We start from the raw sequence: 24,079 nt of genomic DNA, 5'->3' as shown, positions 1-24,079 counted from the left end.
CCTGTCAGTGAGAACACTGAGCGCAGCCCTGTGGAGAGGCTGACAGGATGAGGAACTGAGGCCTCCCGCCAACAGCCAGCACCAGTGTGCCAGGCCTGTGAGTGAGCACATCTCACAGCCCCAGGAAGCCCAGTCAACAGGTGAATGTAACTCTGAGACACCCCTAGCCAGAACCACTATCCAGATTGTTCCCCAAATCCTGATCCACAGAAACTAAAAGAGATAATAAATGATTATCATCACTTTAAGTTACTAAGTTTTGGAGTGGTTTGTTTTGCAGCATTATTAGTTAATATAATTCCCTTCTTCAGTGTCTATGATATCCTTCCCCTACTCCCCCTGGCTAGCTCCCATTGGCTCTTTGGATTGTCTCATTTCATAGAGCACCACTTCCAGGAAGGCTTCCTGAATGCCCCCAGCTGTGTTAAGTGTCCTTTACACTTTACTCTCCAGCTGCACAGAACTACCTTTTGTTCCTAGGCTGGACCTTGCTCTCTTTCATTTCTGAGTCTCTGTACCCACTGCTGTCTTTCCCTGGAATGTTGCCTCTCTTTGCCTCTCACTCTGTCAGATTCAGCTCAGGCATCACCTCCTCCAGGGAGGAGTCCTTCTCTGATTCCTTGGCTGGGTTGGGCATCCTCCTGTGTGCCTCTTTAGCACCTTGTGCAAACCTTTATCAGGTTACATTATGGTTCCATGACACTGCTTTCCTGCAGGGCTGCGTGTTCCTGGAGGATGGGAACTGTGTCTTATCATTCTGCTGGGGACTCATATGAGAAGAGGAGGTTGAGATCTCTGCAGCAGACATTCCCAAACCTGGTGGAGCATCAGAACCAGGTGCTGAACTTTTAGAAAGTAGACATCATGGTCTGGGAGACAGACATCTGCCTCCAAGGATAGACACCACATCCACAACCCTAAATCCAAGCTAAGTTTGGCACCTCGAAAGAAAGGACAGCCACAATGGGATGATAAAGTGGGAGCACAAACACAGCACCCAGAGGGGCCAGAGGGTGATGTAATTTACTGATGCTGGATGAATGACCCAGGTGGGATCTGTGCCAGACTGGAGAAAAAAGCCCCTGCCAGTCCCCAGCTCACAGGTCACCTCTTCAAGAAGGTGTTCACAGACCCCAGACTTCATCAGGTCTCTCTGTTAGGGGCTCACTTAACACCAAGCACCTCTCCCTTGAAGCACTTCTTGTCACTGTAATTAACTATTTTCTTTCTTTTTTCTTTTTTAGGAATAGGGTCTCATAGGACAATGTCTCAGTACAACCTCAAACTTCTTGGCTCAAGCGACCCTCTCGCCTCAGCCCCCCTAGTAGCTGGGACTACGGGCACACCACCATGTCTAGCTGGGACTACAGGCACACCACCATGCCTGGCTAATTAATTTTTTTTTTTTTTTTTTTAGAGATAGGGTCTTGCTCTGTTGCCCAGGCTGATCTCGAACTCCTGGGCTCAAGCAATCCTCCTGCCTCAGCCTTCCAAAATGTTGGGATTATAGGCGTGAGTCACTGCACCTGGCCTTGTAATGATCTAATTTCTTGTATGGTTTATTTATCAGGGTCTGCCTTCCTAACAGGCTGTAGGTTCCTCAAGGGTTGGGACTGTGCCTGTGTTCTGGGCACCTGCCCATGCCTGGCAATTTGAAGAAGCTCAATTGCTACATGTTGAAGGAATGAATAATTGCATGAGCAACCATCGATAATTGCATGCTACAACCATCAAACTTGCAGGGTTCTTCCATGGAATAAGTGAGGTAATTATGTGTAAAAATGAATGAATGTTGTACTTGTTATAAAATAAGATCATGGGCTGGAGAAATAGTCCAGCGAATGAGTGAACGAATCAATGGCCTCAGCTGCCCGAGTGGGCGGAGCTTACGTTCTTTCCACAAGGGAAGTTCCCTAGGAGTTTCCGTCAGTAGCTCCCGAGCACGCCGGAGGCCTGGCCTGTGGATGAGATTGTTCCTTATTTCCCCAGCTTCAGCACCACAGAAGAGACCAGAGTCTACCTTGCCAGCTCCTCTAGCACCGACCACGTGCCAATTCATGTCCTGAATGCTCACTTCACTTCTTCACCTTGCTTCACTTCACTTACTGCACGGGAACAGAAAAGCCTAGAGAGGATGGATTACCTGTGCGGTTGCCTCCCTCTGCAGAGTGGGCGTGTCTCAGGAGCTTCTCTTCTTCTCCAGCCCAGTGCGGCCTCGTGTCATCCATAGGACCCACCGGCAGAGGGCAGGGCCTGCGAGTGGGGCCAGCCTCCTGGTGACTCTCGCCTCCTCTTTTCCAGCGGACGCTACCAGAGGACGAAGGTCTGACTCTGGCCAACGGCCCAGAATTTCTGGCCCAGTTTTGCCTGAGGAAGCCAACTGTGCAGGAGGTCAGGATCCCGGTAGGGTGAGAGTGGGAAAGTTAACATTCCCAAGAGACTCCAAGCAACAGGATTTCCTGACCTGGGACTATTACCTTTCTCACATTACATGGCCAGATTTACTTCCTGCTATTATTAAAAGTACGAAAAAGATGAAGATATGTGTTTAATGGAAACAAGGGCAAGAGTTTGCCTGACTGGACTTTGAGGAGGCTGTAGGATCATGGCGCTAACGGCATTTGGAGGGCTGGGAAGGGACTCTAGCCCTGGCTTTACCTGCCTTTGTCATCAGCTGGAGCAAGCAACTCCGCAACCTCGGAGCCTCAGTTTCCTTTTCTGTAAAAGGCGGGGAGGGTGGGTGGTAAGTGCAATGCTGAATCAGAACTCATAGAGCTGCTGGGTGGACATGTGAAGTAAAAGAGGAGACAGCTTTTGCTCCTGAAGGATGCCATTTGCGTTTTCCTCATCAGTTTGATCTCCTCCAATCATCCAGCACCTCCATCTGACCTTCTCAGCTGAGAGGTCCTCAGTGTTTCTGTGGCCTCCAGGAGAAAGGTCCCCCTCCCCGGCTGAGGCCAGGCTGATGGCAGGCTGCACGGCCAGCCTTCCACAGTCACCTGAAGGATACAGAAAAGGAAGAGCTGGAGGCTTCTAGCAAGCTGCCGAACTGTGTCCTCCAGCTGCGCCCAGCCCCCTGGAGGTAGCGCCGGAGCACGTGGTGGTGGCTATGTAGGAAGGCCCCTTTCGAGCCGCCCTATACTGTCTTTGGGATCTGCTTTTTACTGCCACAGCCTATGTGCTCCTGATTCTTCTCTCAATCCCTGGATGGAAACCGGCCTCTGATACTTGGCTCTGCTTCCTTGGAGGAGCTACTTAACCATTCAGTCCTCTCTGCAGTTAGCTATTAAGGTTGTCCTGCGAACTGAAGCAGAGAGTCCCCGCAAAGGGTGCAGAGTAGGGCACCCACAGAGGAGCCTCTAAAGCACTTTCCATGAGGTGGATGGCTTCTCCTCCCCAAGGGACCCAGGAAGGAAAGGAGAGCTGGTGAGTGGGTGGGCTGGGTGAGCCCAGGGGTCAGCTTCCTCCCTGTGGCCCACAACTAGCCTCTGAATCCCAGTGTCACACATGACTCTAAGTTGGTCTTGGGACCAAATCTCTGACCTCTTTGGCTGCAAGTACGAGAAGCCTTATGTAGTGCTAAAACAAAATTTTCACTTCTCCTTTTCGGCCTCTTAGAATCCATTGGCTGAGAGGAAATGAATTCACTAGTGTCTTGGCAAGAATTTATTTCATTTATTGCAATAGCCTCTGTTTACATTTCAAAACCATGCAGACAAGTGCGTGTGAGAGAATATATTCTGTCCATGGATAATGCCTGGGACCCTGATGAATTATCTGGCAGGCCCCCTTGCTGGGCACCAGTTTTGTCGCCATCCAATAAAGTCTTAATATAAACCTGGCTCTCAGGCATGAGCTATCTTAACACATTTTGCCAGGCATGTATTATGATAAGCCCATTTTGCAGATAAGAAAAGAGAGGCACTGAGAGCTATTGTAACGGCTCAGGACAAAGAGATAGGAGAGCACAAGTTAGGTCTGGGTGACCCCAAAGCCCATATTTCCCCCCATATTCTCCTCTGCCCCATGAGAGATAATCTCTGCTAATCTTGTCTCTGTGGCTGGGGACTGGGAACTCCTCAACAGTGAAGTTGTCAACTACCAGCCACATGTTAACATTTCCTGAACAGTCACAATGCTTTTGTATCCATTGCCTCGTTTAATCCCCTAAGAATTCAATTAGTTGCCCTGTTTTACAGAGAAACAGATCAGTCCTCAGAGAGGTTGAGCAACTTGCCCAAGGTCACAGGTTTAGGAAGAGGCAGGGCAGAGATCAGAATCCAAGTCTGCCTGTCCCCAGATCCCTGCTGGCCTCTTTGCAGTGTGTGGGCTTCCCAAGGTCAGAGATAAAGAGGGCACACATAGCTAGCCTGAGCCATAACATCCCTCAGTCCTGCTTTTCTTCCCCACTCACAACATGGTGGGTATGAAAGAGTAAAATGAAAACCCTAATTGTTTGCCCCAGAGCTGGTCCTACACCCGGGATGACTAATCAGTCTCCACATAGAGTACATTTAGGGTCTCTGGAATGAAGGAGAATGTGGACAGAAAAATGGGGCTTTTAAAAAACCTTGACTGAAAGTAATTTTTAATGTGCCAAATATTTCGACTCAATCCAATACACAGGTTTATTACACAGAAGGCCAAAATATCCTAAACAGGCATTATTTTGCAACAAGAAGAAATCAGAGCAAATCCAGCCATCATTACTCCCAGGAGCTAAGAATGTAATTGTCTAATGTGACTTATAATCAGCCAAGGTCTTGTCTTGATGCTTTAGCCCACCAAATGGCTTCTCCTGTCTCCAGGGGACAATAATCCCTGCGGAATTCTCCTTAGCACAGATGGGTTTCTGCACAGATAACGGGTTTTATTGCTTGAAAGCATTTCGCATTCTGTACTGCTGTTCCCAAGAAAGAGCTGGAACTGTCCTGCTCTGCATCTGTCTCTTCTTATTCCAGATACCTCCAGAGCAGCTCAGAATCCCTTGGGTTGGGGACAAGTCGAGGCAGAACATAGAAAGAAGCACTTTGTGCCAGGCAGAGATTCTCCACCCTTCCTGTTGTGTGATTCTGAGCACGTCACTCCTCATTCTCAGCCTTGGCTTCCTCTTCTGGAAAATGGGAAGAGGATGGTTCACTCAGATGCCTTGGGAATTGAGACTCCTAGCAGAGTGCCTGGCATACAATAGATATGCCGTAGCCCCTGTTCTTAATCAACAGCTTGACTGAAGCACGGCCAGGGAGAAGCATGACTTCGTGCGTGGACTTGGGTGCCCTTGGATGGTTGCTTGGTCAGCTAAGTGCTCCTTGTTGAGCATCCCTTTGATCAAGCCACTTCCCTTCTCAAAAGGGTTCATTGGTTTCCTGGCTCCCCTGAATGCAATCCAGATTCTTGAACCTGGCCATCGAGGCCTTCATTTCCCAAAATGTCTTTTCAGCCAACTTTTCCACTATCCAAAGAGCCACTTAATAAATATTTCAAGAAAGAGAAAATACAATGCATCTAGCATTATGTGGCTGAAAATCTTGGCCCTGTTCCTAAGAAGCTCGTAAGCTAATTGGGAGCAGTAAGATACCAAAAGAAAAGGAACCTGGCATTGTTTCCTAACTTATTTTATATTTTAATTAAGGGACCACCAGCTCAGGCCCAGAGCTCTAGTTCCACTTCTGCCTCACATTTGGAGGGCCTGCTCCAATGTGATACTTGGAGAATGCCACTTAAGTTAAGCCACAGTCCAGGCACAGTGGTTCACGCCTACAATCCCGGCACTTTGGGAAGCCGAGATGGGAGGACTGCTTGAGCCCAGGAGTTTGAGACCAGCCTGGGCAACATAGCAAGACCCTGTCTCTAAAAAAAAAATCTAAAAATCAGCCAGGCATGGTGGCACATGCTTGTAGTCCCAGCCAGTTGGGAGGCTGAGGTGGGAGGATGGCTTGAGCCCAGGTGTTCAAGACTGCAGTGAACTAGGATTGCACCATTGCACTCCAGTCTGGGCAACAGAGCAAGATCCTGTCTCAAAAAAAAAAAAAAAATTAAGCCACAGGTGGGTGCTGCGAGTCACTGACCACACGTCCCAGGCCAGGTGGGCGTGGCAATCTCATGAGGAAGCCCCCACACCAGAATGATGACTGTACCCACTTCTGTTTTCTCCATCGACACCCCACACTTGGCCAACAATCATAGAGAATGTCAGAAATGGGTGTTCGAGGGTGTGTTTTCTTTTTGGTAAAAATAGTTGCCTGTTAAGCAGCATGATGACATGAGAAATAAGCTTCCATTTGGTGAAAGTCGAGGTACTCAAGGCCTGTGTGATTTAGAGACACTTCGCAGGGCTGCAAGAACTGTGTAGGAAGCCAGTGAGGCCTGGAGGCTCTGCCCTGTGGCGTTGCTGCCCGAAGCTTGATGCCTGTCAGTCCTGGGTGTAGTCCTTCACCTGGGAGGACTTCCATTTGCCTAATGTTGAGTAAGAGGCCTGTGGGGACAAAGAAGTCCTGCCAGGAACATTGTATTTGTTGCAGATAAGCACATGCAAGTGAGTAGGAGCTCCTCAAAGGGCAGAGGGCCCGGATTCCACCAGTGGCACTCAGGAGTTTATACAGCCATTTGGGGCTCCTCGTGAATGAATGCTTGTTTTCTAAATGTCTCCATGTGGCAGAATTTGGAGAGACTGCTTCCGTTCTCACGTCGTTGTGAGGTTTGGAGAAGAAGCTAGCCCTCGCTCACTTCAAACTTTGACAGGAGCTACACTCATCAACCGAAACTAGAAGCAGCCTAAGGGTTGTGCATGACTACAATTTCTGTTTGTTTGTTTGTTGTTTGTTTTTTGGTTTTTTTTTTTGAGATGGAGTCTCACTCTGTCACCTAGGCTGGAGTGCAGTGGCATGATCTCAGCTCACTGCAACCTCCACCTCCCGGGTTCAAGCGATGCTCCTGCCACAGCCTCTCAAGCAGATGGGATTACAGGCACCCACTACCACGCCTGGCTAATTTTTGTATTTTTAGTAGAGGCGGGGTTTCGCCATGTTCACCAGGCTGGTCTCGAACTCTTGACCTCAGGTGATCTGCCTCAGCCTCCCAAAGTGCTGGGATTACAGGCATGAGCCACTGCACCCAGTTGCCAGTCCATTTTTAACAGTCCTTTATTAATAGTCATTTGCAGGGCATACCTAGGCTAGTGTGTCCTAGACTCTGAGGTGAATTTATCCATGATGCTTGAATGTAAGAAATGTCACATCGATTTATCTAATCCATTATATCTGTTTCCAGACCTTCTCCCCATTGATACAGCTGGGCAAACATGACAATGTCAGTCATTCACTGATGCTCCCTCCCTCCCTGCGTAAGCCCTAAGGCATATTAGGAAGCTCTGCTGCATAGTGGGCAGTGGTGTCCCCTCTCTGGGCATGTTTGGCAGGCATCTTTGGGGTAAGGTTTGCCAGCCTGGCCTCCTGCCCAGCTCAGCTTTGCCCCTGCTGTGAAGGGCATCTCCTGCTGTTGGCCACACTTCCTTGAAGCCAGCCAGCTAGAGGGACCTCATGCAGGCTATGGGGCCTCCTTGGTTGGACTCATGAGTCCCAGGTACCAAGGTGGTCTTTTCCACCATAGGTTGGGCCACTTGAGTGGCTATGGATTTGGAAGTCCCAGGTCCCATGGCCCATCCTGTTATATCTCTGTCCTCCTTCCTCATCAGCCCCATAGAGCTGAGCTACACATATTCTCTGTCTCTCTCTCTCTCTCTCATTTGGTATACCAAAGCCTCCATTTCTTGTCTTTTTGGGATTCCATGGTTGAATTATCCTTTTTGGGTCCCAAAACCCTAAAGCCCTTAAACCCACAGGCTGTTAGGGGCTGGAGCATGGGACTCAGATGCCCAGCTGCCCCAGAGAACAATTCATTAACAGTAAAAAGGCTAAGATGCGAATTTTTCTCAGAAAATCACCCATTACATATGAATCTTTATTGAACTTTCACAGGAAAGCCCCAAGAAGATGCTAGTATCATCATCACCCCCGTTTAACAGATGGGAAAATGGACTTAGAAGGATTAACCAATTGTCGCATGGCTAGTGAGTAGGGCAGTGTCAGTTTTGCTTCCAGGTCCAAAGTCTGGATCGCCCATTATGTAGTGGTTCTTAGAGTAAGGCCTGATTCCTTCTGGGCCTCAGTTTTCCCAGCTGCAGAGTGGCAGGTTCTAGCTACCAGAAGGCAGGCTAAACTCATGAAGCCCAGGCCTGCCCGATCAGCATCTCCCTCGGGCAGTCAGCTCTGGCCTACAGGTGTTTGACACACTTATGCTCAGCCACAGGCCCTGGGTGTATGAAAAAGTGATCCTGATCGACAGGCACCTTAGCTTGGGGCTCAGTCAGTCATAAATGAGGCGACAGTTCACCTGTCTCAAAGGTGGCAACTTAAATAACTCCCTCTGGGATATCAAAGCTGGCAAATGACCCTGGGAAACAGCTAGACGGCAGCACAACAGAGGCAGCTCCCGCGGCAGATGGGCACATTCCCCAGGTCCCAACCTTCATCAGTGTGTGTCATTTTTATTGCAGCTTCTGCCTCCCCAGCAGAGAGGGACCTTCCCAGAGAAGATGTCTTGCGCCTCACCTGATCTTGTTCTGAGAGTAGGAGACTGGAAGAGAAGCGTTCAACTCCCCAAACACAGCTGGGTTTGTTTCGTTTAATCTCCCAGCCTGTTTTTCTGCTGTCCTCCTGAAGAATGTTTAATCTCACAGTTAAAACCACCAAAAGCGACTTTTTTCCCCCTCAACTGCTCAGTAACACATGACCGTGCAAATTCGTTTGGCCCCAGCGCCACAAGTCATAAAAGGCATCTAGTGGGCGGCATGAGTCAATCAGGCCTTTGGACGGTGACGTAACCACAGCTTGTCAGTTTCCCCATCCAGGCAGCCCCAATCCCCCAGTGCAGACATCTGGAGCCAGGGATTGACAAGTGGATTCCAGGATTGGGCCCTGCCTCCCGCCCTGTTCAGTTCCAGCCCAGCCACGGCCGCCGCCAACGAGGACACGCACTGTCTTTCTGCACATTCCCACGTACACACACCCCCGCAGCCCCCTCTCCACTCATTCCTGCATTTCCGGCAATGTGAATTCTGACAGCTCGGGCAGTGTCAGCCTCTCCGGTGCATTCCTCACCACACCACCTCACTGCTCCCGAGCCTGCTGACAGCACTCCCCGCCATACCTACCAAGCCGAAGGTGCAAGGAACCTCTTGATCCCCACTGTGTCTTTGTCCCAGGGCCACAGCAAAATAGCACCCCCCTCCCCCACACACCCTCTAGCCTAATTTATTAGACTTTTAAACACATTTATTTACTGTGATATCTACACCACACCAAACATCTGGAGGGAAACCGGGAGACAATCCACCAGGAATTTAAATGTTTGTTCTGCAATGTAACTTTGAAAACCGAACCAGGAAAACTTGACATCTTTAGCCAATTGCTTGGTGGTGAGTAGACTTAAGCCAATATATAATCTGTAAAGGTTGTCCCTCTTTGCCCTCTCTCTATCCATGAAACGCATTCACCAAACAGCCCAGAAATATTTCTTTCTTCTCCTCTCAGAGGTATGTGAAACCAACCTGAATCAACAACATAGTTGTTCAACCAGCCTCACTGAGAACGAAGGCATTTCAGAGCTGGAAAGACGCTAGGGTCTGGGGTCTTATCTTCCACATTTATCTGCCTTATTATAATCCATCCAGTCATCCTCTTTGCCCTTGCCAGATCTCATCGCTTACACTACCACTACCGAAGGAGCATAACGTCTGTGACTTTTCTTTTTTTTTTTTTTTTTTTTTGAGATGGAGTCTTGCTCGGTAACCGGGCTGAAGTGCAGTGGCAGGATCTTGGCTTACTGCAACCTCTGCTTCCTGGGTTCAAGTGATTCTCCTGCCTCAGCCTTCTGAGTAGCTGGGACTCCAGGCATGCGCCACCACGCCCAGTTAATTTTTGTATTTTTAGTAGAGATGGGGTTTCACTATGTTGGCCAGGTTGGTCTCGAACTCCTGACCTCGTGATCCATCTGCCTCGGCCTCCCAAAGTGCTGGGATGACAGGTGTGAGCCACCGCACCCGGCCACGTCTGTGACTTTTCTAAAGCTTTAAGATGATGTCACCCATAGGCAGAAAGGCCCACTCATTTCGTGCATCTGCAGTCACTCTTCTGACGAGGTGCGGCTCTCTTTTGTTCTATCAAAGAGAAAGCCAGTCTAAATTAATGGGAAACTAGAGAATTAGGTCATTTTTCAAGATGAAATTGCTGGTAGCTTAAGGAATCAGCTACTTGAATCCCATGCTAAAAAAGTGTAACTCCTGAGGAGTGAGCTCTTCTTTCTTCCTTCCATAATGTCAGGCACTAAGGGAGGTTCAGAAACACAGAGCAGCATCTACTCCTTTCTCAACGAGCGTGGGGTCCAGTGCAGTTGGCCCTCATTTAACAAATAATTACACCCATGCGTGAAAGGTCCAGTGGGGAAACAGTGCGGGGAGCCTCAGGCAGAGCTGATTCAGGCCTGGGGAGGCACGGGAGCCACATGTTCAGGGTCCACAGGCCCAGCGGAGTGATACGGAAGTTTCCAAGATGGTAAGCCTCTCTCCTGGCCCATGCTCACCAACGGGACCCCATTCCTAACCAGGCTTTCCCTCTCTCTCTTTTAAGTGTTCCAGGAATGTTCCTACCCCTGCGTCTTTGCTGAAGCCCCTCTTGCCTGGGATGCCCTCTGTCCTCTCTTTCTGCCCACACACATCCTGCCAGTCCTTCAGACAGGGCCAGCCTCACGGGCATAGGACCTGAGCAGTTTCACAGGGCCCTATGCACAGAAGGATCCCAAGCTCGGTTGATTGCTCCGATCTTGCCATCTTGAAACTCTTTGATAATTTTATCTTTTATCTTGTGTTTTGGGAGTGAAATCCAATGGGATATTGGGGCCTGCAAAGGAGAAGAGGAGATCCGCACAAACCCGTTCCTGGCTGCTGCATTCACCTCCAGCGTTTGTGATGCCCCAGAGCACAGAACTCCAGGGAGCCCACGATGCAGGAGAGTTCAGCGACATTCACTGAGTACAAGAGAAGTGAGTTACTCCTGCAGCTGAGCACGGGGGGCGCTGGCAACTGCGAAAGGTCTCGCTTTCCATTCCAACCAGAACTTGCTCCTAGCGCAGACAGAAGGCCGTGGCATTCTGAGAAACACACATGATGAAGGAGCCCTGTCATATCCTCTCTTCCTTGCATCGCTTCCCCGTGTGAGCAACCACTTGTGCTGGAAATGATGACAAGGAAGGACCGGGAAAGACAGGGCCACCCGCAGTTCCTTTTCCTTGACGTCTTTCCTTCCTCATCAGCGAGCTGAGGTGGAGAGCGTTGGTAGAATGTGTGCATAATAAGAAGTGAAATAAAAACAGTCGAGTTAGTATTCTACTGTTTCCACTGTTCTGGTGAGAACAAAACACATATGCTGTATATGCTTTGAAATACAAAGTGTGTAATTTTAGTGATTCTGCATAGGAGTTAAATGTTTTTATATTTGCATTTAAAACTGCCATTGTATACTATAAAGATAAAGAGTAAAATGTATTCTAATAGTTTAACTTTACTAATAATTTAGTTTTTACTTTTATTTACCTAGAGTAACATTAAATAGCAAACAAACAAAACAAACATCACAAGTTGAGAGAGAAACCACAAAAGAAAGAAAAAAGCTTTATATGTTAGTACCTTGAGAGGCACTTTTTCCTGCTTTTTGAGTAGGGATTCATGTTTTCCCGTTGCACTGGGCCTCACAAATAATGTAGCCAGCCCTGCCTTCAAAGTGCATTCAAGTGACTCCCCCTTCATAATCACTTAAGCCTGGAGCCACGGCCTTGCCCCTGAACACGTAGAACAGTCATGGCCGTACCAACCGTGAGCCATTCTTGCCTCTCTCTCTTTTGTCTTATTCTCTTGTCATCTGTCCACCTCGCAGGACTGTTGGGAGGCACCAATGGACTTTGCAACTGGAGATCTCCCAACTGGACCATGTCACTGTTATGTTTAATTTGCACTGTGCACAGTAGGTACCCAGTCAACGTTTGTCGAATTCCATGGACTGGGCCTTATACCTCCGAGGATTTTTCACAGCAGTAGCATGTGCACATGCACAGAACGAGAACACAACCAATGCTTGTTTGCTGGTGAAGACCTGGTCTCAGTATTTTGCCCAGGAAACCCTTTCTTCATGGACAGCATGAGGCAAGCTATGGCCCTTGCTGTGGTCTCAGTGGTTCAGCACGGAAGATGAAGATGACGGGCAGTCTCAGAATATTAGCTTTAGAAGGGACTTTGGATCCTTTTGATTTTGGTAGGTGAAATACTTTTTAAAAATAAAGAAAACGGACTTTGGACAAATGCTCTCATTTTGTAAATGAAAAAGTAGAGACAGGAAGAGTAACTGATTTGTCCAAAATCAAACAAAGTAAATTGTGTTGCATCCTCTCCATCCGTAACCACCTTCGCCTTCCCTAACTGCTCCATGTGGCCTGGGAAAGTCCACTTCACCTCGTCTTAGAGGTGGGCTTCTGATTCTAGCTAAGCCAACCCCCACGTTCTGTTCCTCTGGTCATGGTGATTGATTTGGGGACCAGCCTGAGACCTAAGCTAGCCCAACGGGCATCCTTTCTGCCAGGAGTGAGAGGAGTCAGGCCCTCTCTTCCTCAGGATCAGGGATGTGAGAAGATGTGGCCTGGGATTGTTGCAGGTATTTCTGATCTCCTGAAGGGCCTGCGCCTAGGGAGAAAGCCCAGTATACTGCAGGAGGAAGGACAAAAGGAATGGCAGAATAGCACCAGAGCCTGATGCTTCCGAAAATCACTGGGTCAACCTGTACCTCAAGCCCACAAGACTATGGGAGCTTTCAATTATGTGACCAACAAATTCTCTTTTTGAAATGTGTTATTGGGGATTTTGTTCTTTATAACAGAGAGGGTGCTGACAAACACAACAGAAAGGTGACGTGAATAATTCAGGACACACAGAGGCTAGCCTAGAACCCAGGTCTCCAGATTCCCATCCAGTGACCATTGCAGTAGCCCCATGGGAACTAATACTGATGGTAACAGGTGCAGTGGAAGCAATAGAAGCAATAGCAAACACAACAGATGTGGTGCATTGTTGATACATTGTGAATGAATCAAGGATCCCAGGTCCTCTTCCGCCAGGGCCAGTTAAGCCAGATCTGCAGTGTCCCTGGGAAAGGGGTGATTCCTCCATTGAGGAATCGGGGGATGTCCTCCCTTGCTTACCTGCTCTGTTGCTTGGGCACTGCCCATTTACGATCCTGCAAGCAGCAGGCAGGTGGCATCCGCCCAGTAGAGTATCTGCAATAGCAGCACCGTGATGAGTGAAACTCAAGGTTTCATGAGGACACCGGGGGGCGGGAGCACCTTCAGGGCTCTGTGGCTAACTCAGGCACAGTCTGTGCTCAATAACTCCAAATGATAGGCCACTGTGGGCCATGAGCAGCTCCCTCCTTCCTGCCTTAATGAGCACAGTGTGGAGACTGAACCTCAGTCTCCTAAAGGGATGGAATTAAAGGAATTGGGTCAGCCCACTCATCTTACATCTGGGCGTACCAGGCGGTGACACACCCAGGCTGCATAGCCACACAATGCGCACCCTTGGCTGGCCCAGCTCTGCTCCCCTCCAGGCCCAGCAGCCTCCTTCAGCTGCTGAAGCTGAGGGCACTGGGGCGCTAAGGTCCTCACCGGCTGATGCTTTGGGCAGGTGCTGGGAGGCGAGGAAGAGCCCATGGCACCATCTGACTTCTCAAGGTGCCCTGGCAGGGTATCTTCCTGAGATCTCCTGGGGAGGTGGCCAGATGAGAGAGATCAGAAATGAGGGCAAAACCGCAGAGGCCAGAGCTGAGCTCTCCATCCTGTGCAGTCACCAGGCACTAAGGCCAGAGAGAAGAGGAGAGCCCTGAGCGCACAGTCAGGGAAGGCCTTGTGCAGAGGCGGCACCTGGGCAGGACAGGAGGGATGGGCAGAGGGGGTGGCAGACGGCAGACAGCAAGGACAAAGGGGAGGAGGTGGGAAGGTCCCCAGACGGCATGGAAGACAGAAAGGGAAGCCCCTCCAGCCATTCCTGCCAGAGACCCTGCCAGGGCCCAGGGGTGGGCTTGGCAGACTGAAGGGCTCCTTGCCAAGGCTGATAAAGGGAGTCTCTCACTAACTGGAAACAGGGGGCTTGCAGAACTGAGAGCCCTGTGAGAAGGGTCTGGATTCTGGTGACAGGAAGATTGGCAGGGCTGGGATAGTGGCTCGGAGCCCCCAGGGCCTGGTCCCAGAGGCTCAGACAAATGCCATGGTCCCAGGAGGCCCTTCCTTGCAGTAAGCAAAGATTTCCTCAGTTCTTTTGACTACTCCCTGGGTCAGGTGGCTTCACCTCGCTGAGCCTCCGTTTCCTCCTCTGTAAAATGGATGTGTAACCTGATAGGCTTGTTTTGAGTAGTTGCTGAGATCACAGGCCTGGCACAGAAAAGTGCCCTTCAGTTGCGGGCTCCGTGCCCCCTCGCCCAGCACCCTGTGCACCCCTCTGGTTTCTCTAGTTATTCACCAACTCTGCCCCGGTGCACTGCCTGCCTAGGGCTGAATGGAGCAGTGCGGGGGTAAATCAAGCCCACATGTCTATCACCAGGCACTAAATCTCCCCAGGGACATTCCTTACTGTAGCAGTAATGCCGCCAGCTCCAGGGAACAGGGTTGCACCATAGGGCAGGCTCCCCACACCCGGGAGGCTTAAAGGGCCAGCTCCAGCAGAAGCAGCAGGCCCAGCCTTACATGGGCACAGACGTGTCAGCAACAACAGCACCCCGCTGCAAAAATAAACAAGCAGCACCGCCGTGTCCAGAGACTCACAGCGTAGGGGATCAGAGCTCAGGCTCTGAAGTCAGACCAGGTCTCATTCCCAGTTGAGCCACTAAGCCATGTGGCCTTGGACAGGTTACTCTCCTCCCTGCTGTCCACCTCAGTTTCCTATTGGGCTGGCAGGTCTATGGTGAGGACTGAAACGCTGAGAGTCCCTGGTGCACATCAAACACTCCCTTGTAGCGCCATTGTTAATCAAGTGCCACGCACATGTGATTTGGTCCACTCCAAAGTTTCCTAAGGAAGAGACTGCTATTGTCCTTAAATTTCCAGAGGAGAAATAAAACCAAATCTCGGGCTTGTTTGGGCTGTGTGATCAATGGTCATCGCGGGACACTTGGCACTTGACCTGTGCTCCATGCAGTGAAGGGGATGGGCCCAGGCCCGGGCACTGGGAGTCCTGGCTGCTGTGCCTGCTGCACCCGCCCACTGCCCTGTCCTCCCTGGCTCCCCACCGCAGGCAGTTGTCAGGGCCGGCTTTCCCTCGCATGGTCTGATCACAAACCAGGAAGGACGGCACAAGAACTGATCTTTGTTGAGCCCCACTGGGTGAGGAAGGCCCCTTCGCTCCCGATCCTCCTCCAGCTCTGCCGGGAACTGCTTTGGAGAAGAGCAACTGGAGGATCAGAGAGGCTGTATGCCTGCCCTAGGTCACTCGGCTGGTGGGGGCATCGCCAGGAGTAGAGCCTGGCCAGCTTTGAAGCCAGCGTTCTTTCCTCTCTAGCCCACGTGCCTGGTTCAGTCTACAGTACCCCTCACTCCCAGAAAAAGAACAAAAGCATTCAACCCATGGCCTGTCTTCTGGGCTGCGAGGGACGGCCCTTTTATTTATGACAACCGGCTGGCTAAGATCAAAATGACCAGTGGGAAACACCAGTCTCTGTGGATGACTTTGTCATCAGATCACTCGAGAGAAAAGAGCATTTATCTGTCAGAGGCTCACTCTTCCTCTGCAATACCTTCTGAAATTATTGAGGGGATTTAAAACAGGAAAATACAATGTTTTCCTCATGAAAAGAACGTTTCTATTAGAGAAAGCATAGGAAATACAGAGAGATGGGGTCGGGGGAAGCCCTTAACCTCCCACCCAAAGGTAACCATTAACCTGTCTGTGCCTTCCTCTATCAGCTTTTCATTCTTTTTCAGCAAACATTTGTTGAGATCCTCCCTTCAGTGGTGCCGAAGAGCTGATTATGGTAGAATCTGTGCCCTCGAGCTCACTGTGTGCCGGGGTGCAGGGCTTTTGATTTTATAGGATGTTTCAGACACCTCTTGGGCACCACTTCAAGGGAGACTGGCTCCGTGTGGGTTTGCAGCAGCTTTGTGCAGAGGTGACGGCCCTTTGCCTGTGACCACCCTTGGTGCCTCTCCAATGTTGCAGCCCTCAGCCTTTGTGCATGGCCAGCCCAGAAGTGCGGTGTGCTCTGCCCATGAACGCGACCCAGTGGACAAACGCTCCCCATTTTGTTTCCTGGGTGGCTGGTCTGAGCCACATTTTACAAGGCTCCAGTGGGGTGGAGCTCCAGTTGTCCACAGTGATGGTCAACAGAACCATGTGCTCTTGGTGGATTCGTTTTCCCTCCTCCCCTTTCTCTCTCCAGTTCCCTCAGGCTAGTCCCTGGTAACTGTTTCCAAATAAACTACCTGCACACCAGCTTTTGGCTCTGCTCCCAGTTTGAGACTGTGGTCATGCTATACATACAATTTAGGAAGGGGAGGCAACAAATTTAAACATTTGTTATTTGCATATTTCAGTTCTATAGCTTTAGTATTGACTAAATACCCACCCCTTGCAAGACAGTCCAACGAGGTTGTTACAGTTGATTCCTCTTTATCAAGAAAATAAAAGGAAATGATGACAGAAACAGATGTTACTACCATCAGTGCACTCTCTTCACCTCTCACTGATTTGCTAAAGTAACCTAGGAAAGTAATCTCAGATATTTTTTATTTTGAAATGATTTCAAATTAAAGGAGAGCTGCCAGGGCAGTAGAGGTAATTTCTGTTATATACTTTTTGGGGGTGCTATTGCTTTTCCTGCTTTACACTGTAACATGATTTCCCACGTGAGGTGGGAGGTCCTGCCTGCAGCCACCCTGGACATCATCTACAGCCAGGTTTGGTAGAGCCTGTCCCCTCCCTGCCATGGACTAGTCTACATATGGGCCTACACCCGCTTGCAGGCTACAAGACCAAGGGGAAGTTTGTTGGGGGCCTCTTGGGTTTTCTCAATCCTGAAAGAGAAAGTCCCTGTTCCTCCTCTGGGCACAGTGGCAGCTGGATGGGATTCCCGGGCCAGCTGCTGCACCTTGCAACCCAAGACCAGCTTTAGGAGGAGCCAAGAGGAGGTATCCGAGGGGAGAGCTGGAGGGAATGAGGTCCCACGACCTGCCTCTGGCTCTGAGAGACAGCACACCCCTTACTGTTTAAGTCAACTAGAGCCCTCTGCTCTACTCAGACCATCCCAATGGCACATCACATTGTTAGCAGTCCTTTTTGAGAATCGTCTTATTGGCTGCCTGATATTCTATCTAATGGATGGGCCGTAATTTATTTACCAACCCTCTATTATAAGACATTGAGGCTGTTTCTTATTTTTCAAAATAATAAGTGACGCTATGGTGAGCATCTTTGTTCATAAGTTTGGTCTGTATTTCAGATACCCTACATGCAGCTGCTGGATTATAAGCCATCATCCTTCTTAAGCCTCTTGATACCTATGGTCAAACTGCCAGCAGAATGACACCCCACCAAGCAAGCACACAGCACTAACCTTATTATGGCAGCGGCTCTGGGTTTTCCATTTTATTTTATTTTTTAAATCACTGCCTCTTCAATAATTAAGAAAGAAAGATTGTTGGTTGCATTTCTTTAATTACTGATGAGCTTGGTCATTTCCCTTCTTGTTTGCTAATGGGCTTATTGCCGCTCATTCTTGTTGATTTCTATTGTTTCTTGAAGACTCGTAAGAGGATGACAAATAGATGATATTGACTTCAAGGATGGAGAAGTCTTGGTCCCTATTATGTGCTGCCTCCCACCTGTGTACCCTTCTCTGGATGATTGCACACTGCTCTTCATCCTTCCCCCAACATTTCTCCTGTCTCTGCCTACCCCCATCCTACCACCAAGGGCAGGGATGGAGGGAAGCTTCATGCTCCCCTCGAATCTAGCGGACTGAGGGCACGGCGCAGCCTGAAGCACTGACGACAGGAGGATTCCAATGCCACCCCTCTATTCCTTGGGAAGATCTCTGACTGACGAGTGGTTAGAGACGACGTGTGGCTATGGAAGGGGGGGCCGCCACACTTATGCCCCCCGCCTTCCTGTTGTGGGGTTCTGCTCTCTGCTCACTGCCTAACCTGCCAAGCTAAAGCCCAGTCAACATGGCAGACCCTGCCAGACCCATGGCCTGTCAGAGCTGGAAGGAGCTTGCTCTGAAGAAGTTTCTCCCAGCAAGTGTTTCCTGAGCATTTACTCTGTGTAGTCTCCATGGCGTGGGATCCAAGAACACAGGGAAATTGGGGTCCCTAGGGGCTGGTGGATTCAAGGTGGTTGCACTGTGATTGTCTCTGTCTATTTGGGCTGCTGTAACAAAATAGATAGTACTTTGTTTGGGTGACTTATAAACAACAGAAATGGAATTCTTACAGTACTGCAGGCTGGGAAGTCCAAGATCAAGGCACCAGCAGGTTTGGTGTCTGCTGAGGCCTGCTTCCTGGTTCCCAGACAGCCATATTCTCACTGCATCCTTAATGTGGCAGAAGGGGTGGCAGAGCTCTTGTATGAGGGCACTAATCCCATTCCTGAGGGCTCCCCTGCCATGACCTGATCACCCCCCACAGAGGCCCCACCTCCTAATACCATCACCTTGGTGACTAGGTTCCAACCTATGGATTGTGGGTGGACTCATTCAGTCCAAGCAGCAGTGGAGGCCATGAGCCCTGCCTCAAGGCGGGAGTGGAAGGTGCCAGCCCTGTAGTGTGGCGATGGTGGCATAAATTCAACCAGCACTTTGTGACGCTCTGTGAAAGAGCCTGGGCTTTGCAATCAAACCCTGTGCTGCCCTCACCTCTGCCAAGACCAGGGGGTGACCTTGGGCCAGTGACTGACTCTGCCAAGTCTCAGTTTTTTTTTCCTTCTGTAGCTTTAGCTCTTATGTCAGCATTACTCTGTGCTCTTTGTAAACCCCTCTTCATTCTCTTGTCCCCTTCCACGAGGCAAGGACCATGGCTGTCTTGTGTGACCTTTAAGGGGGCTGCACGGTGGGCATTCAATGCACCCTGATCCCAGGCAAAGGGTGGCTGTGTCTGGCACACAGTAGAGACTCACCTGTTGAAGCCTGTTTTGGACCATCCTATATGGGAAAGCACTTAGCAAGCAGTCAAGGTTGCCATAAACATTAAGGACCAGAATAATTAACCACAGTATATTTTAAGGCCATTTGGGTCTATCCCTCAGTTTCTGCTGGAGACAGAATCCTGTGCTGGATTAATGTATCATTGTATAATGAGAAAATGATAATCACCATATTGATGATGATGATTACTGTTGTGGTGGTTGTTATTGTTATATCTTCATCATCTTCCATTTATTGGGCATCTTCCCCGTCCTGGTCACACTGCCGGGTGCCTTATAGGCATCATCTTGCTGGGCCTTCCCAAGAACCCTCGGAAGGCAATGATGCTCCCATCCCATTGTGAAGACGATGAGTTGAGATGCAGAGGTAAAGCCCCCCTGCCACAGACACTCAGTTGGTGGGGAGCCGCATTTGGGGGTCCAGCCCATGGGGTGCCAGTGCTCATATTCTTCCGGTTTTGTCTGGGTAGACCAGGGCTCCACTGGGAAGCAGTTCTGGCACCCCATGCTCATTGCCCCACGGATGCTGGCTCCCCCATGCTGGGATCCCTGTCCTTTTGCCTCAGTTCTCCTCTGGCAGGGGCAACACTACGGGGTCAAATCAAAAGTCACCTTTTCTGGGACCATCTGGCCTTTGGGCCCCCCTGACTCTAACCAGGCTCCACTGGCTCAGAACTTGGTCACTCCCCATTGCTCAGGGGCTCTGAGACCCCAGTGGAAGTTGGTTCTGGGTGGGCCCAGTGCAGTTTGGGAGGCTGCCTGAGGCTCCTGTCCCAGAGTACCTAACGTCGGCAGCCTGGCAGACCCTCTCGAGATAGCATCAGGCTTTCCTCTGTCCTGGTGGACCCCCAGTGGGAAGAGATACTCTCCCAACTCCAAGGGGAAGGGGGTCTTGGCCTCTCTGGATGGCGACAAGAGGAAGATTTGGGGGAAGGGGCTGGCTGGGCTCGTCCTGGTGTCATGGCTGAGGTAGTGTCTCAGTTCTGGGGAGGGAGGCTGCTGCCCACCGCCCATGCACTGCCTTAAGCCTGCCTGGGGCAGGGAACCCCGGCACTGATAGCTGCCTCACTGCGATGGGGTGCAAACCTCGGGCTTGCACCTGTCACTGTTCCTCAGGTTGGGGGCCCTGGGGTCCCAGAGGATTAGAAGGAAAATGCAGCCAAAAGCAAGGAGGACCCAGAGGAAGGTCCTTGACATGCCCTCATGGATGTTTTTTGAGGGGTGACCAGGGGGGTGTCATTTCTTTCTCAGCTCTCCCTTTGGGCCTCTGAGCCAGCCCAGCCCCAGGCCTGTAGCTGTCTGGACAGCCTCTGAGGTGAGACCCACTGCCCTGCTGGTCCTGGTGGCTCCTAGGCTGCCCTCGGCTGACCCCAGCCCAGTGGTTTGATGTGGTGACCATGGTGGCCTCTGTGCCTTGGATCTGGCCTTGGGCTCCTCGGCTTTAACTGTGCTTTACATTTATAAGCCCTGACTGATGCCCTGAAGCCTGGGGGATCCCTCTCACTCTAGTTCTGGAACCCCCTGCCGCAGCCACTTGCTGACCCCTTCTGGGAGGGCCATGTGGGCAGACGCAGGAGCATCCTAACTCCAGGGCAGAGGCAGCGTCATTTGCCCATCCCAAGCCTTCCCTTAGCCCCACAGCGAGCTGGGCTGGTGAGGTGCAGGGATGCCAGTGTCAGTGCCCCCAAGGGGCTCACTCTCAAGGCTGAGATGGTGCCAGCAGTCCAAAGCAGCCTGTAGGAGGACAGGCCCTGAGCCAGGGCGCAAGGCCAGGGAGGCTGCATTTCAGCTTCCCCCACCTCCTGGCCTGGCCAGAGCTGCCCTGGACACAGGTGAAGAGCATGGATAGAGCAGCATGGCGGGGCACACAGAGGTATGGGCACAGGCAGGGCTGGGAGCAGGCAGCTGGGACTGGGAGGCCCCCTGGCTCCAACTCACTGCCACAGACCCGAGGTGGTTAGAGCTGGAGAAGCACGAGGAAACCATCCTGTCCAACCCCTGCATCATAGCTGGGAAACTGAGGCATGGAAAGGGGAAAGACCAAACGGATGGTTGGGAACAGGCACCCTGACTCCCCACCCCGGGCTGTGGCCCCTGTGGCAGGCAGCTGTCTGAGCAGGCCCACTGGAGTAAAACCCCCTCAGGCAGGTGGTGATGCAGTGGATGGAGAGAAGGGCTGAGGAAGAACAAAGGCTGGGGAGGAGGCAGCCGGTCCCCGGCAGCTGTGGGAAGGCTGTGCCTGCTTGGCCTGGCCAGGCCCCAGCCTGTCCACGCCGGGGGCTCAGGATGGGGACCAGGCCCTGATCTCTCCATGGGAACCCAGACTTCCAAGGGCTTCAGGTGCCACCTTCAACTCCCAGGGGCAGAAGCAGCCGTTTCCTGGCCCCTGTCCCCGTGGGGAGATGGGTCCCAGGGACAGCTCCCAGCTTCCACTATGAAGGGGAAGGATCCAGACTTGGAAAATCCCAGGGTCAGCTGGGGCATTTAAGGCTTCAGGTGACTTTCAGGGAAGTGGCTTCTTGCCTCCCACAAATGTCAAGTGTCCACCATGCCTTCCTCTCGGGGTGCAGAGGGGAGGGGCTGGCGGGCTGGGAGCCAGGCAGGAGGGACAACCAACTCACATGTGGTTTCTGCAGGGCCCCTCCCCAGCCCCCACAGGGCCTTCATCTTGTCCTCATCTTCATCCTCCTCCTCAGCAGCAGCAGGAGGTGAGCCCAGTATTGAAAGTGTTACGAGGCCATGCCACCTCACTGAAGGGGGAGCCGCACCTCCACCCAGGGCACCTCCCTCTTGTCAGAGTCCCCTACCCTTCACGTGGATGCACTACTCCCTTGCCCCCAGAATGAGGTCCAAAGACTTGGGAACAGCTGAGTAACACAAAAAAACGTTCAGGCCCCACCCAGACCTGCTGCCTCGGAATCTGCATTTAACAAGACCCATGGACACTAAGTCCACTTTTATGTCAGAGCGGTTTTAGATTTACAGTTCGGAAGAGAGCATAGAGAGTTCCCACACGGTCCGCCCTACTGCGACTCTGAGCCCATTCAAGTTTAAGGTTGCTCTTTTCCACCTCCTGTCCTTCCCCAGCTCCAATCGATCCCCCTCCCACCCCAAAGCTGAAGTCAACAATAGCTTATCAGAGCTCCCCTCACACTTCTGGGAGCGCGGTGACTTCTCAGGGTGCTTTGAGAGGCTCGGGCTACTGTGCATGGAACGCCTACTCTCTTCCTGGTCTAACACTTCACGTACATGATTCTGTAATTCTCTAGACCTCTCTACAAAGCGGGCACTATAAACCATTTCGCAGATGAGAAACTGAGACACAGAGAGGTTAAAGCAAAGCCAGGATTCGAACTCAGATCTGCCCCCATTGAAGCTGATGGCCTTTCCCTACCCACGTTGGTTTCCTGGTCTCAAGAAACTAGTCTGTTTTCTGGTGGCCATGGGCCTGGCTCCAGGAGCTCTGGCCCAGCCAGCTATGAGTTGCCCTATTGGCCTTCCCTGGGCTTTTCTGGTCTGCAGGTCTTTGAGGGAGAGGCTGGCCCTCTTGGAGACATTCAAGGTCAAGAAGTGGTCTCAGCTGCACGCAGTCCAGGACAGCTGTCCAAACTCATGCGTCCACAAAGATCAGACACACATGTGAACTGATGGACAGAATGTTCTGGCAGAGGCAGACTTCCTGGGAAGGCAACACAACACTCAGCTGACCGAGATGTGTCTCCCTTTGGGGCAGTGGAGGGGGAAGGCTGAGGAGGAGGGGAGACTGAGTGACCCAAGGGAGAGGGGGAGCCTCTGAAGAAGGCCTCTGGCCCCTTGAGGACTTCACCAAGTTCACTTTCTGCAGGAAGTCTTCCTGAACAGAGGTCCACCCACACTGTTTATCCAACAACTGCCCACCTTCCACGTGCTATTCCACAGCTTCCCACAGGAGGGGCAGCAGGGCTCTGCTCAGGAGGCATCTGATAGGTGAAAGCACATGGACTTGAACATCCTGAATTTGAATCTTGTTTCCAATGCTTGGCAGGTGTGCAGCTTGGGTACATTACAAAATCTTTCTGAGGCTAAGTTTCTGCACCTGCTTGATGGGCTTATAGCATCCATTCCCTTGACATGGCTCAGTCTCATCCCAATCTTGTGATCATTCTTACCACAAATAAGATCACAGAAGTAATCACTAAATTCATGTTTACAAATCCTTTAAAAACTAAAAAGGACGAGTGGAAGGGAGGGATGCAAGAACTTGACCTTCTGACAACATGGCAGACTGAATTAATGTAGACCCCTCTCTTCTGACACAAACATAGAGTAATGCTATATACAAGCTAACAGATCTTTGGGGGAATATCTTTTGTGCAGTTTTTTGCAGTGGTATAATACACATAACACAGCACTTACCATGTTAGCCATTTTTAAGTATGCAGTTCACTGGCATTAAGTGCATTCATATTGTTGTGCAATCATCACCACTATCCATGCTAGCACTTTTTCCATCTTGCAGAACTGAAACTCTGCACCCATTAATCACTCTTCATTCTCCCTTTCTCCAGCCTCTGGAAACCATCATTTTTTTTTTCTATGGATTTGACTATTTAGGTGCCTCAGATAAGTGGAATCATACAGTATTTGTCCTATTGCAACTGCCACATTTCACTTAGCATACTGTCCTCAACGTTCATCCAAGTTGTAGTGTGTGTCAGAATTTCCTTCCTTTTTGAGGCTGGATAGTATTTCATTCTATGGATAGATCATATCTTGTTTATCCATTTATCTGTCGATAGGCACCTGCGTTGCTTC

General features: G+C 50.7%; 1 long non-coding RNA gene across 4 annotated transcripts, besides 3 other annotated features; it reads left to right on the top strand.

Annotated features, from left to right (window-relative positions):
* The first annotated feature begins 666 nt into the window (after positions 1-666).
* LOC105373585 (uncharacterized) lies at positions 667-12,409 on the top strand. Of its 4 annotated transcripts, XR_007087218.1 has the most exons (5): positions 1,929-3,426; positions 7,977-8,068; positions 8,555-9,475; positions 10,932-11,097; positions 11,988-12,409. It is a non-coding gene; the product is annotated as an uncharacterized LOC105373585 (long non-coding RNA). The 4 variants fall into 4 exon arrangements; XR_001739681.3 differs by lacking the exons at positions 7,977-8,068; positions 11,988-12,409 and adding exons at positions 667-837; positions 1,245-1,765 and having other exon boundaries at positions 1,990-3,426; positions 8,555-11,438; XR_002959417.2 differs by lacking the exon at positions 7,977-8,068.
* Positions 2,158-2,287: a silencer, noted in NCBI's record as "silent region_11919". NCBI's record gives its function as "represses an Ori minimal core promoter by ATAC-STARR-seq in GM12878 lymphoblastoid cells {active_cell/tissue: GM12878}" and the evidence as "EXISTENCE:reporter gene assay evidence [ECO:0000049][PMID:35858748]".
* Positions 3,302-3,451: an enhancer, noted in NCBI's record as "active region_16461". NCBI's record gives its function as "activates an Ori minimal core promoter by ATAC-STARR-seq in GM12878 lymphoblastoid cells {active_cell/tissue: GM12878}" and the evidence as "EXISTENCE:reporter gene assay evidence [ECO:0000049][PMID:35858748]".
* Positions 10,604-11,803: an enhancer, noted in NCBI's record as "BRD4-independent group 4 enhancer chr2:121301087-121302286 (GRCh37/hg19 assembly coordinates)". NCBI's record gives its function as "activates an origin of replication core promoter dependent on BRD2, P300/CBP, MED14 and CDK7 cofactors, and independent of BRD4, by STARR-seq in HCT116 cells {active_cell/tissue: HCT116}" and the evidence as "EXISTENCE:reporter gene assay evidence [ECO:0000049][PMID:35650434]".
* Positions 12,410-24,079: the final 11,670 nt, after the last annotated feature.

This window comes from Homo sapiens, chromosome 2 (assembly GCF_000001405.40).
Source record: "Homo sapiens chromosome 2, GRCh38.p14 Primary Assembly".
Taxonomy (NCBI): Eukaryota; Metazoa; Chordata; class Mammalia; order Primates; family Hominidae; genus Homo; species Homo sapiens.
Note: the sequence above shows the minus strand (reverse complement) of the source record. Positions and strands in the feature narration are given on the sequence as shown.